Source organism: Homo sapiens, chromosome 10 (assembly GCF_000001405.40).
Source record: "Homo sapiens chromosome 10, GRCh38.p14 Primary Assembly".
Taxonomy (NCBI): domain Eukaryota; kingdom Metazoa; phylum Chordata; class Mammalia; order Primates; family Hominidae; genus Homo; species Homo sapiens.
Window position 1 is genome coordinate 47,249,502 of NC_000010.11, and position 14,866 is coordinate 47,264,367.

At 46.2% G+C, this 14,866-nt stretch overlaps 1 annotated feature.

Moving 5' to 3' along the window:
* Positions 12,034-12,083: a silencer, noted in NCBI's record as "silent region_2353". NCBI's record gives its function as "represses an Ori minimal core promoter by ATAC-STARR-seq in GM12878 lymphoblastoid cells {active_cell/tissue: GM12878}" and the evidence as "EXISTENCE:reporter gene assay evidence [ECO:0000049][PMID:35858748]".

Here is a 14,866-nt window from a genome sequence, read left to right on the forward strand (position 1 = left end):
GCAGGAGAGACCTGCAGGAGAGTGGCTGCAGTGGTGATCTATAGAGTCTAAGCAAGCGAGGAGCAGATGAAGGCAGTGGGGATCCAAGAGGTGGGGAGAAAGCAGAGAGAGTGATGGTCTTGGAGATTCAAGTTGTGTGTCCCAAGTAACTGATTGAGACGGTTAGAAGGGAGGAAGTTCTGGAGTAAGAAAGAACTTTTTGTTCTGGTTGATGGCATAAGTGGGTAGCAGAGAAGCAAGCACAATCATTAGAAGTGATCAAGCAAGAGATCACTGAAGGGACTTAAGTCCCAGAGGGCACTCCCAAGGGTGGCCACCTAGGATAATGACTATTTAAGAACTGAGCTCAGTGGAGCTCATGACCCTGTTCCTGGGATGTGAACCCATAAAAAAAAATCACATTCTCAGTTCAGCACTCTCCTGTATTGATGAATAGCCAGACATGCGGTGGTGACATCTGAGACTAGTCCTCCACTAATAGGGAGAGACCCAGGGCTGGTCCCCGCAGCCAGATGCAAGGCACTATGGCCCCTGGGAGATGCTCCAGGGTGGCAGCTTTGCCTTCCCAGGGCAGAAGCTGTCTCTGAGGGCTGGCCTTGTCTGCCCCAATGACCCAGCAACGAGGCAGTTGCCACTGGCACACCCAGGGTGAATGTGGGCTGAGACGTCATGCAGGGCTTCAGAGCAAAACAGAAAATGCCACACAGATGAGTGCAGCCCCCATGAAGGGAGGGATTCCTGTACTTTTTTCTGCCAAAGATTCTAATCATTTATGTCTCCTAAATTCACCTTCGGCGGCACCATTAGGTCCTATTCAACTACATGAGTGTTACACACATTATTTTATAACTTCGCAACAATGCTGAACATGAAAAATGTGAACCAGTTTACATGTATCTCTATATGGACACCTTTGTTTATCTAACTAGTAAAAGACATCAGTTTATTTATTTATCCTTTCTCTAAACATGCCCATTCAAGTGGAGCAACTCGATATCCACAAGCAAAGGTTCATTTGTACTCCTACCTCGTGGCGTATTCAAAAATCAACTCAAAATCAGTCAACACCTAAATATAAGAGCTAAAACTATTAAACTCTTAGAAGAAAATATGAGAATATATAACAATCATAGTTTTGGCAAAGGATTCTTAGATATGACACCAAATAAATAGGCAACAAAAGAAAAATTAGATAAATTGGACTTTATCAAAACTTAAAACAGCTGTGCATCAAAGACCATTATCAAGGATATGAAAAGGCAAGCTATGGAATGGGAGCAAATACCTGCAAATAATATATCTGATAGAGGCCTAACATCCATAATTTATAAAGAATTCTTATAACTTAATAATAAAAAAATTAAAAATAGGCAAATTTCTAAATAGACATTCTCCAGGGAAGCTATATAAATGGCCAATAAGCAAATGAAAAGATGATTGACATTGTTAGTCACTGGGGAAACACAACTTAAAACTATGAGACACTGCTTCATACTCACCAGGATGGCTTGAGTTGAAGAGACCAACAACAAGTGTTGGTAAAAAAGTGAAGAAGTTGAAACCCACTTATGCTGCTGGGGGAAATGTAAAATTGTGCAGCCATTTTGGAGAACAGTTCATCAGTACCTCAAAAAGTTAAAAGTAGAGTTACCATATGATATAGCAATTCCACTCCTAGGCATATATCTAAGAGAAATGATAACATCCGTCCACACAAAATCTTGTATATAAATGTTTATAGCAGCATTATTCATGAATAACAACATAAAAATCCATCAAAGGATGAAAGCATGCCCAATTTGGCTAATCCATAAGATGGAATCCTATTCAGCTATAAAAAAGGAAAAATCTTGAAAAGGTTCATGAGTGGACCAAGAAAACTAAGTGCTAAGTGCTATTATGCTAAGTGCTGTAAGATGACAGACACAAAAAGTCACATGTTGTGTTTATTTTTATATGATATATCTAGAATAAGTAGAACCACAGGGATGGGAAGCAGATTAGAGGTTACCAGGGCATGACAGGAAGTGGGATAGGGAATGATTACTTAGTTAATACAGGTGTTTTTGTAGGGTGAGGAAGAAGTTTTGAAACTAGACAGCTGGGGGTAGCACAGTGTTGAGAACACATTAAATATTATCACTGAAATATGCACTTCAAAACAGTTGATTATATGTTATGTGAATTTCATCTTAATTTTTTAAACAGAATTTTTACGTTATGCTTAAAAGGGGAAGCAGGAACTTTTAATTATAGGATCACAGTTATCTCTGACACTCAGGATCCCTCAAATTGGGTGGCTACAAACTAATGCATGGTGTCTATGCCAACTGGAAAATTCCAGATCCCTCACAGGTATTTACTGAATACGATAACTAAATAAAGTGAGTGGTGGGGGGACCCACAGGGGAAAGAATGGGCAATCATAAGAGGCAAATCTCCTCTAGCTTAAGTTTAGTGATTCCTTGGAAGGCATGTAACACCGGAGAGCAAACACTCATGCCCTTTCCTATGAACTTGCGAATGGACCCAGGTGTACCTGAGCTCTCAGAGACTCTGACTGCTGGGTAGAGGGACACTGGGTACTCAGGAATTTGTTATGGCTCCAGCTCAGGGAGGGGTGGTAGGTGGCAGGTGGCCAGTGGTCTTCTGTCACCCCACCTAGGAACATACATATCTGGACACACCCCTGCGCTCTGTGGCATCTGGGACAGGGAAGATGTCACCACTTATGCTTGTTCTGCATAGCTGCTGCTCAGCAGCCTTCATCCTGCTGGCTGAGGCCCATGCCCTCTCTCTAAGGACCTCTTGGCCCAGGTCTGCAGAGATCACTGCACAGTGGACAGGACTCTGCCATTCGGGTTCTCTCCATGCCTTCAGCATGAATGCCTCCAAGGAGGAAAGCATGATCACACAGCGGCCCAGAACAGCCAAGCAGAGGCCGTGGGCAGGGTGGAGAGGGGCTGCATGGGGATGAACAGCAGGAGAGAGGGGGAAAACGGCATCACAGCTTGCACCCCCACCTGGTCAGTTCCCAGCTGAGGGCAGGAGACTCTGGCTGCAAGCAAAGAAGTTCAAGGCAGGCTCTGGTCATTTGTGCAGGGCAAAGAGGTGACTGAAGCCTCAAATCTGTGCCCCAGCAGGCTCTACCCAGCCCAGAGGTGACCCCATTCAGCTCTGATGGGGCCGTAGCCCCAAGGCCAGGGTTTAGAGGAGAGCGCCAAGGACAAGACAGCAAGGGGGCTCAGAGAATGGAAGGGGCTGGGACTGACATCTCATGTTCCCTTAAATTGAGTCCTTGTTGCCTCCTTGCCCGAATAAAACATTAATGTTCCTCATTAATGTTCAGTTCACTAAAGATGAAGCCCGTTAGAATATGCTATGGCTCCAGCTCAGGGAGGGGTGGCAGGTGGCACCCCAAATTCTAAAACCCTCAGCCTTTAGAACCAAAAGTCTCTGTAAGATCTCGTCTTACTCTTCATGTGGGGAAAATGAGGCACAGAAGGAAAAAATGAGCTGACAACAAAAATCAGTTCAAAACTTTGTGTTTTGTCATCCAGGCCACTTCATATTTATAGACACACGTGTCATGGCCTCAAAGCCAGGAGAAACAAAGGATGCTGATCGGAAGGAGTGAGGTCTCAGGATGGTGGATGAGAGAGAAGCAATGTCAGGAGAATGCCTAAACTCCTACAAAAGGACGTGATCCCTATGTGCGTGCCCCCATGCCCCTCCCCACCATGTGTAATGATAGGGCTTGGGGTAGGAACTGGAGCAGTGCATGAAGAGGGACTCAGCACACCAAGTGCAGGCTCTTGGTCTGTGCATTGCCATAGGCATTGGTGCGATGAGATGCTGGACTTACATAGGCCCTGAATCCAACTTCTCATCACCTGGGAAGAGGTGGGCCAGCAGTGTAGGGCCACAGGGAGGCATAAAAAGGGTGACATCAAAGGCTGTGCTGAGCCACTGTCGTCAACCAGCCTCACACTGCTGGTTATCCCAGAGGCTTGGAGCAGGGTTGGAGGGATGAAGCAGGCCTGGACTGCGTCCTTAGGAAGACAGAAGCCATCGTCGATATGGCCGTTCCCTTGTCCCCTCCCTCCTGCTCCTACAGCAAGCATACCAGGGCTGACTCCTCTCCACACCGCAGCATGGAGGTGTGGAACCACCCCACAGACACCCTACACCTCCCAGGTCTGGGCAGAGAGCAGCCAGCTGGCTGCCGAGGTGTTTTTCCATGTGGCTGGGGGCCCGCTGCGGCTGCTCTGGCCGGGTGGTGACTCACAGCTGGCAGGACTCTGGCCTGGCGATATTTTGAGATCCGACTCCATGATGGACTGATGTGACAGCTTTGTTCTCTAGGGCCCTTTTGATTTGTGAATCTCCCTTTGTGGTTTGCTAGGGATGCTCAGACCCTGCTGTTTCTGGGCTCCAGCGACCTCTCGCTCAGCTGGGCAGGCGGGGCCGGCTACAGCGGGGGTGGCAGACAGCGAGTGGGAGCAGCAGGGCTCAGTGAGGACTGAGCCACCACCGGCCTGGGCAGCTAGAGCTGCACTTCCAGGCTGTGTTAGACTGACTGGGTGGTCGTGGAAGAATGATAAGTGCCTGCTCAGAGCCAGCTATGCATGGCCAGATCGCAAACCACAGGGCTGCCCTGCTGGGCTTGGGCCTGGGCCCAGAGCTCTCTAGAGCATCTGGGGAGGCATGGGGGTGGACCCGGAGGCTTCTGGAGACCTGCAAGGCAGCCAGCCCTTGGGAAAGAGCACTTGGGGCCTGGGACAGCCGGGCTAGCCGGAAGACTCAGAGCCAGTCAGCAGGGTCCGTGGGACCTCATTTGTGGCACCTGCATTGAAGGCAGGCAGGGATACAGAGGAGAAAGGGCTTCAGAGCCAAAGACAACTAACTGGGTTCAAATCCCAGCTCTGCTCTGGCCGGGGCTGGGGCCGTGGGCAGCTTATTTGACTTCTAATCCCTCACTGGGAAAATAGAATCATAATACCCATCTCTCCAAGCTTTGAAAGGTTTCATGTGAGCATTAACACACACAGATGTGCTCAGAATTCTATCTGCCCAGAAAATATAGTCCTCTACCCCTCTCTAATACACACACACACACGCACACACACCACATTCCTCCAGCTGTCTGCCTCCTTCTGTGGTCCCTGGGGTAGGAATGACTTGTTCTCAGTTTCTTTCTGGCCAGGTGTCCCTCCATACTCAGTTCCATGGATTCTCTTCCCAAGATTGATGTGTTCTCAGATAAAGGTGAGCCAGTTTCCAGCCACCTGCCTGAGGGCAGCTGAATTCACACAGACACACACACACACAGACATACAGACACACACACACACACACACACACACACACTGCTGACTCCCAACACTAGCTCAGCAAATATTACTTAACAGGGCCTTTTTAGGTTGCTGAAAATTTCATGGTCACAGATGTTCCTTCCAGTTAAACAGTAAGCTGCTACTGGGCAAAGCTTCGTACAAAAGAGGGAAAATGCAGACCTCAAACCGAGTTTTGCTAAATGAAAGAAGGAGGAGATGGGAACTAAGGAGCTTTGCAGATCCAGCAAGATGTGACATGACCCAGGGTTTCAGGGTTTCAGCCCCAAGGCCACCACCACTTAGAGGAGATAGCACTAGAGTGTGTCCTTATGATGCAAGATCTGGGTTGGAAGAGGCCTCATGTGTCACCCTTCCCTAGCATCATGTGATGCAGGACATCCCCAGCAGCAGCTAGAGACACTTGCCTCGGGACCCAACCAGGGACGCAAACGCACTCCCCTTTGGGCAGCTCTCAGTGCTAACAAGTCCTCTGACTGGTGAAAACCTGTAGCAACTGAACCTTATTCCGCTGCCTGGGCCACGTAATACAGATCTGCTTCCTGTTCCTCAAGACAAGATGAGGACCCTTTACAGATTGAATGAGTCTTCTCATTCCCAAAATAAACCACGAACCATCAGCCCACTTTTTCTGGCAGGGAAGAGTCCCAAGGGTCCCACTCTCTTCTGCAGTAAAGGACAATGCATCACTTTACAACAGGATAAGACGGCTCTGGGGAGCCTCTAGGGAGCCCGTGCTGAAAACCCTCCCCTGGGCTACCTCACCTCAGCAGCTGGGGTGCTCTATGTGGTCCTGCCAAGGGCCGGGGACTGGCCTGGTGTCTGGGAGCCTTGTCTTCACTGCCCAATCATGGCGGCTTTGATCCCATGACTCTCAGCTTTTCCATCAGAATTCAGAGGGCAATAATAGCAACTGCTTGCTTGTAAAGTGCTTGGAGCTCAGAGGAGAAAAGGTGTCAGACAAGTGTAAAATGTTACTACTGGCACAGGCCAGAGGATGGAATGGAAAATCCCAGCAGAAATTGGGAACTCAGAGGAAGCCATTTGTCAGCTCCTCTGAACAAATGGATACAGGAAAAGGGGCCTTCCTCTGGCAGCCAGGCACAGCCCAGGTCAGCTGGAGGGGCTGGAGGAGATGCAGGTGAACATGAACTGTCCTGCCTTCTGACATCAACTACTGATTTAGCAGCCATGCCTTCCACCTCAAGACCAGCTGTCCATTGCACACCCTAGGCAGGGCTGCCAGCGGATGAGCCCAGGTACCCAGAGCTCCAAGCAGTCAGCTCAGCCCTCAGAAGCCTCCTGGAGAAGAGGACTGCAGGAACTAACCCACTGTAGCAGCCATCTGGAAGAACCAGCCCAGTTCTCAAACAAGGGTGCACCAGGCAGAAGAGCCAGTCAGCATGTAGCCGTGAAGACTGGGAAGGGCAGAGGGAAGAGGCACGAAGCACCTAGATGACGCGATGAACTAAGGAAAACTTTTAAAGCACTCTAATTGCTGTTCTCAGAAATTCAGGAAACGTATACATTCATTAAAGAATCTTCTGGCAATACATCTTCTTAGACATTATAAGTGTGACCCACCAATTCCTGTCTTCAAAGTGATCATCAGTAAATGAACTGAAAGATAAAGTCAAGGAAATCTGTCAGAACGTAGGGTAAGAAGACAAGGAGAAAGAACTTCAGATTAAAGTGACTCACATATCTTGTTAGGATTAATGAAAAAATAAAACCATCTAACATTTTAAAACATGAAGAATAAAGAGAAAATCAGAAACATGAGACAGAAAACATCATCACCTACTAATAAGTAAGACTGGCATCTCATTAACGAAACTTACTGTGACTACATTGTTGAAATTCCAAAACCTAGAATTTGACAGTCTCACAATCACAGTGGGAGATTTTAGCACCTACTGTAACTTCATCACACCTATGTGGTTCAACTTTTATGAAACCAAGTTGTGAGTTGTTTTCAGGTTACCATGGGCCCCCAGATTGAAGGTGATGTAATCTGAGCGTGCTCAGGCGAACCAAATGGACAGCCACAGGAGGAACCTCAGGGCTGGGACTGAGAAATTGGGACTGAACTGAGAAGCAGACACTGCCTGGCAGGAGCCAGGATCCAATCAGAGGAAGCTCTGGTATCACCCCATGGCAGGATCCAGTAAGATCATGCCTCCTGGCACCACCTCATTGCAAGATCCAATCAGATCACACCTCATTACCCTATGCTTATAAAGCCTGACCCAAACCCCTGCTCGAGGAGACAGGTTTGAGAGTTTTCTCTTGCCTTCTTGCCCATTAAGCAGCTTTATTGCTGTTTTTCTTTTCTCAAAAGCTGGTGCCATGGCATTGGCCTCTATGTGAATTGGACACCAAGCCCATTGATCGCTTGGTAACAATACCATGTTCCTAGATGGGAGGACTTAATATTATTAGGATACCAATTCCCCCCAAATGAACACAAATATTAGATTTTTCTCCTTGACTCTTGACAGTGAAAGCTTGCGTATGAACAATTAAAGACTCCCACTGAGGATTCTGAATCTGAAACTCATACTGCAAAGAATCAGGGGATACTTTAGAATTCACTCTAGTTATGGTGATGGTGATGGTGGAGATGCCAGAGGAGGGGATGGAGGGGAAGTGGCGGGAGGTGCTGGTGTTATGGGGGTGGTGGTGGAGGAGCAGGTGGTGGAGGTGATGGTAGGATGGCAGCACCCAGCACCCAGAGTCTAGTGTAGACAATAGCAGCAGAATCAGAACAGCCTCTTGGCAGCAAGCGTCCAGGGCAATGTCTCCAGTGGCACCATTTGGCTTGTTTTTGGCTCTCTGGCATCCCTCTATCCTGGCCTTTTGTCCAAGGGTTGCTTCTAAACACTACAATCTCTTACTAAGACATCCGTTATCCTTCTAAGTCTCTTTGCTGCCTATGTTTAATAAAGTAAGTTTCTATTGCTTACAACCAAGAACTCTGGGACAATGAGTCTTCCAATCTTGAGTAAAGGAAGTATTTTGTAAGCAAGGCAGGAAACCAGAAATATTGTTTTAAAAGCAGAAGACTGACTAATTTAACCACAAAACTTGAAACAACTCAATAGGAAAAGTGAAAGCGCCAAGTTCTTAAGGGTCACAGCACAGAAGAAAGAGGAAGGCTGGTAAACATAGAATAAGATGCTCATTCTCACAAATCTTCAGATGGAAAAAATGAAATTCCATTTTTCCCTTTAGGTTAGCACAAAAATACATAAATGATACATAATATCCAAGGTGTGACTGGGTGGGAAAATGGGGTCTCTTACAAAGCACTGGACAATGCAAAGAGGTGACATTTTCAGCTGAATTGAAGGGTATCTCCCAGCATTCGAGGTGAGAGTTTTCTCTACTCAAAAATGTTATTTCTCAGTATTTATCTTAATAGAAATACTTGCACAAAAGCATGAAAATATTAATAGCTGACTTATTTATAGCAGCCCCAAAGTGTAGGCAATCTAAATAGTATCAACAGGGGATAATATTTACTTCCAAAATAACCAAAATATGGAACAAAACAAAATATGGAAAACTGAGGAGGAAGTAAAAAGTGTTTAATGGAACTATATTTACTGATCTAAAAGGCTCCTTGGTTTGGTTTATTCTTTTTTTTTTTTTTTTTGAGTTAGGATCTCACTCTGGTGCCCAGGCTGGAGTGCAGTGCCATGATCTCGGCTCACTATAAACTCTGCCTCCTGGGCTCAAGTGATCCTCTCACCTCAGCCTCCCCAGTAGCTGGGACCACAGGCATGTCCACCCAGCCAAGCTAATTTTTGTAGAGATGGGGTCTTGCTATGTTACCCAGGCTGGTCTCAAACTCCTGGGCTCAAGCGATCCTCCCACCTTGGCCTCCCAAAATTCTGGGATTACAGGTATGCACCACCTCGCCCGGCTGGTTTATTCCTTAGTGAAAAGGTGATTGCAAAGCACTCTATATGGTATGATTCAATTTCTCTTTTAAATTTGTTTGAATTGCAAGGAGGTGGGTACGTTCAAGTTAGACTTTATATACCTCTGTAACAAGCAATATTGTAAAACCAGCATGTTTTGCTTTTCCAGTTTCTAAGCAAAACTAAAAGTAAAAAGGAATTGGAGTCCATGGGATACACCTTTCATGGTAAATTAGTAGCAGTGTTTCTCGTTTGTCCTGAATCCTTGTGAACCTGCTGGGGGTCCTAGCTAGTCTTGGTGTAGGCTGGACCTTGGGCTGTGCCCTATGCCTTCCTGCTAGGGGAGTTGAAGAAGGACAGGAGGAGGCATGAAACATGCCTGGTTTCATCCCATGGCTTCAGGAAAATCACTCCAGAGCCTAGATCAAGTTAATAGGAGAAACACTGCAAAGAGTAATATAGCTACCTATATTACGGACAGATGAAAAGGTATTTATTTGACCCAGTAAGTACAATCTACCATGCCTGCGGCACATCCTGAAGGAATATTACTGGGGGCCTGACTGCATGACTGCTCTTTGATTTATGGAGCCAAAGTGAATGAAAGGCAGGGTCAATACAACTGCCTTTCGGCTCCACTTTCCATTCCATTTCATAGAGCAGGTGAAAAGATATGCCTGCCTATAACAGGACTGGGTGAAACTCAGGAACCTCCAATGGAACATTTGCATGTCTGTGTCAGTGGGCATTTCTGTCATCCAAGAGGGGACTTCCATCTGAGGTGGCTTTTGAGGCAGGAGCATAGCTCCGTCAGGAGGAGGCCTGAGCTAAATGCACATTGTCCATGCTGGGAGCTTTCTGGGCAGGGCTCAGGGGGACGGGTTGAGGGGGCTTGTCTAGGAGCTGGATTTCTGAAACGTGATACATGGCTCCTGTTTCCAGTGGATCAGCCTGCCTTTCAGAACCTACAGGAGACTGTACTTCCAAGAAACAAGTGCTTTCCTGAGGGACTAATCTGCCTGCCCCCCACTTGAGTGCTGACACCAAGGCTGAAGGCAAATCCCGGCTGGAAGACGAGGATGTAGTGGGCTTGGGTGTGAGACAGATTTGGTTTCAAACCATAACTTTGGGAAAGTCACTTCCCTGAACCTTGTTTTCTTCCTCTATAAAATGGGCACAATATTATCTTCTTCATGGAGCTGCTCTACAGATTCAGTGAAATAATGGATTTGTTTCCCAGGGCTGTTGTAAGACAGCACCACAAACTGGGTGGCTTAGACAACAGACGTTTATTGTAGCACAATTGTGGGGGCTGGAAGTTTGAGATTAAGGTGCTGGTAAGTTTTGTTCCTCCTGAGGGCTGTGAGAGAGAATATGTTCCAAGATTTTCTCTGAGTTTCTGGTGGTTGATTTCAATGTTTAGTATTCCTAGGCTTGTAGAAGCTTCACCTGGATCTCTGCCTTTATCTTCACATGTTATTTTCCTTCTATGTTTGTCTGTGTCCAAATTTCCCCTTTTTATAAGGACTCCAGTCATATTGGATTATCAGCCTACCTTAATGACCTGTAATGACCCTATTTCCAAATAACGTCCCATTCTGAGGTAGTTAGGGTTAGGACTTCAACATATGAGTGAGGGGAGGCACAGTTTAACCCAGAGCAAGTGGCACATGTAAAGTGACTGGTGTAACATAGCTCCTGAATGAATAGTAGCTCTCTTTGTCCACCAAGTCCCCCCTTGCCAGCATCTAGACGGAAAGAGGCAATGAAGGTGGAAGAGGGAAGCCACATATGTCTCAGTGGGTTCTTTAGGTTGGGAGTCACCCACCCCACACAGCTTCTGCCCAGTCTCTCCCACTCCAAGAGCCCATCCATCAGTTCGTTTGGCCAGCAGGCAGCAGCATTTCCCCAGAGCCCCAGGAGCTCTTGTCTGCTGTCGTTTGCTGATAAGCCAATGCTTGCTGACGCGTGTCCTGATTTCAGAGTGTGTCTGCCTCTCTCCTCATCCTGTGGCCATGCTATGGTAGCTGAGAGCAGGGATCTGCCACTCCATCGCTGTGCACCTTTGACCCAGCTGGGGTCTCACAGAGATAGTCTCTAGTGAAGGTTTGAAGGATGTAGAAAAGAAGGAACAGCAGCTTCAATAACAAGATTGTCATAAATTTGTTTAATATAATCGCTGCCTCAGCATCCATTTTTATGCCTGACATAAGCTGTTTGGAACTCAGTTGTACCCAGTCGCCTTTAGACTCAGAACTTCCTCTCCCCGTGTGGCTGTTCCTCATCCCACTGACCCAAAATCCAATACCTGACCATAATAACACCAAATGGTCATGCCAGAGTCAGGAAAATAAGTCCCCACTTCAAGAGTGTTTTCTTTAAACCAGTCAGTCCACAACCCCAAAGGAAAGCCTAAGGATAATGCCCATGAGTCTTAATAAAAGCAGAGTCCCACAAGTGTTCTCTCTTCCTCACCCACTGGGTAAGCTGCCTGCCACCTCCTGACTTCCTGTAGGCCTCTAGTGTGCAACCATCTGCTGTGAGGCCTGTGAGTGAAATGTTTTCCCTGTTTCATGCATTCTGGTTTCACTTCTTCACTGTGTCTAACCTGACACACACACCTGAACCTAATTTCCCCCATCAGAGCTCCACTAGAGAGTGGCTGTCTGGGCTCACGGCCACTCTCAAGAGACACCACAAGACCCAGTGGAAAGAAACTAGCAATACAAATCACAACAAAAGGGGGACCTGTTCAAATGCCTGCCTCCGCACCCCGCTCCCGCCCCACCCCCACCCTGCCCCCCAGCCATCTCGCTCTAGAAATCCCCCACCATGTGCAAAGAGATCCTGTCTCTCTGGGCATCAGCATAGAGGACCGCTGGCCAAGCCACCAAGCACTTGGCTCACATAATAAACCAAAACCTGTTAAAGCTCCGTGCTACTTGAAAAGGACAAAAAGACAAATGTATGTAGAACAGGGTCCAGGCTGACCTCAGTTCCCATGGGAGATAGCAACATGCCATCAGCAACTGTTCCCAAGCAAAGCAGCAGGCACTGGCCATAGGAGACAGCCTGGGCTCAGAAGGCTGTGGGGGAGGACCTGGCTCCTGCTCTGTCTACCTTTGTGTCTTGGGTTCCAAATATATTCTGTAGAAATTCCAGATATCACTCAATCTCAGAACCTCCATGTCTGAGTCTTAAAAACTGGGTTAAAGATGCCTCCTTTGATATAAGAATTAAGGAAAACATGACTGTAGATTTGTAAAGAGTAGGGTTTTCATGGAAATCTTTACTTTGCAGGGGCATACCTGCAACATGCTGGCCTCACAATACACACTAACGGAAGTTTCTACATTATCCTCAGAGGTTACCCCAGGACATTTTGCATCACTGAGCACTGTGAGAAATTTTCTTACCTTGTGTTTTATTCAGTGATGTTGTAAACTGAATGTTTGCGTCTCCCCCAAATTCCTATGTTGAAGCCCTAAAGCCCTAGCCTGCAGTGGTGATTGTATTTGGAGGAGACTTGGGGAGGTAATTAGGGTTAGATGAAGTCTGAGTGAAGGCCCTCACGATGGGATTAGAGCTTTAATAAAAAGAGATACCACACCTTTCTCTCTCCACCACCTGAAGACCCAGTGAGAAGGCGGCTGTCTGCAAGCCAGGAAGAGAGCCTTCATCAAACCCAACCATGCTGGCACCTGATCTCACACTCCCACCCTCCAGAACTATGAGAAAATAAATTTCTGTTGCTTAAGCCACCCAGTATGTAGGATTTTTGTTATGGCAGCCTGAGCAGAATAATTTGAGTAAAAATCTATTTTTATTCTTACTCATTAATAATTCATTGACTTTCTTACAACATTCAAATGCAATGAAAAACATTAAAAAATAATTCTCTTTAAAGAATATCTAGGAGAGAAAAACAAAGCAGCTATTTTTATATTTTATAGCTGAGCTGTCTAATATGGTAGCCAACTACCACATGTGGCTACTAAGCACTTGAAATGTGGCCAGTCCTAATTGAGATGTGCTGCACATGCAAATTACACAACGGATTCCAGACTTACAACAAAAACAGAATATAAAAGTCATAATTTTTATATTGATTACATGTTAAAATACTAATGTTTTGGATCCATTAAGTTAAATAGCACATACGATTAAACTTAATGTTATCTGGTTTTCTCTTTTTCAATGTGGCTATGAGAAAATACGACATGACACATTTGCTTCATATTTGTGGCTTGCCTTCTATTTCTATTGGACAGCACTGGTCTAAAGTCTGAAGCAGTAGACAAAGCATGGGCTTTTGAATCAAGAAGCTCTGCATTCCCATCCAAACTATGTCATGACCAGCTTTGTCAACATAGGCAAATGACTTCACCTCTGTGACCCTCAGCTTTCCTGTAAATGAAATGGAGAAAAGAGCATATTTCACAGTGTTATAGTGAAGACTACCAGTGGTGGTGGAATCAAGTATGTAGAATGCCTAGCAGGAGTTTGCTACCTAGTAAAAACTCAATCAATGTTTGCTTCCAACCCCATAGTTAGTAGGAAGAGAAAACCATGCTGTCAACGCTCTCCTAATCAGCACCAGCTGCAAGGCTAGTGGCTTTGTAAAGATGGAGCTCTGAGCAGCACAGACAGTGAGAAGAAGTCAAGGAACACCGAGAAAGTTGTCAATATTATTCTGTTTGAAAAGTTTACTTTTGGGGGAACATCTTTTCAAGGTACCTGCTTGCATTTCTTTAAAGCTTCCTCTGCAACATGGTTTATGTCCTTAATCAGTAGGGAATTGTGATGGGTCAATATTGATGCAATGCTGTGTGTTTTGTAAACAAGTCCCAGCTGCACAGAGCTTGTTCCACTCCCATCCTCCCCATCTCTCACACATACCTTGGAAGGTCCATGTGGATCTTCACACCTCCCAGTTCACAAGCGTCACTATGCCTGGCAGCAACTCCAGGAATTACATTTTATGTCGTGATCATAGAGATTTGTTGGAGATGATTGGTCTCTTCAGTGCCAGTCTTCTAAATAGACTTGAGATAAAATACAATCAAGAAAACTTGAATATGGAGAGAAGACCAGTGTCTTGATGTAGTAGCCCAGATATTCATATTAAACACCTGGGGATACTCACTGAGTGTAAACTGGGTCTAAGAGCATGGTGGGCTGTGGCTGCCCACACTCCGCAAGGCTGGAGTGTGATGGAGTCTGGAGGCACAGGGTATCCAGAGCATGAGTACCAGTAGCTCCCCTGGGGTGCTGGGGGTTGGACTGAAGACTTGTGTAGTTTTCCACCCACATTCTATGAGGGAAAGGGACTCGTCCTAGGAAGAGTGAGCAGGTAGGATCCAGGTCATGTGGAAACAAGTGAAGGAAGAGAAGTGTTTAATCCGGAAAGAAGACAGACACTTGGGACATCTAAACATTGGACTCATTGCATGCAAAGAAAGTTCTCACCTTGCTCTGCTGGCTCCTTTGGGTGGAAGAATGGACAGTGGGTGGACTCTTCTGGGAGACAGACGATTTGTTCCCATAAGAAAGAGGATAATTATTTACCTAAGTCCTTCTTTATTT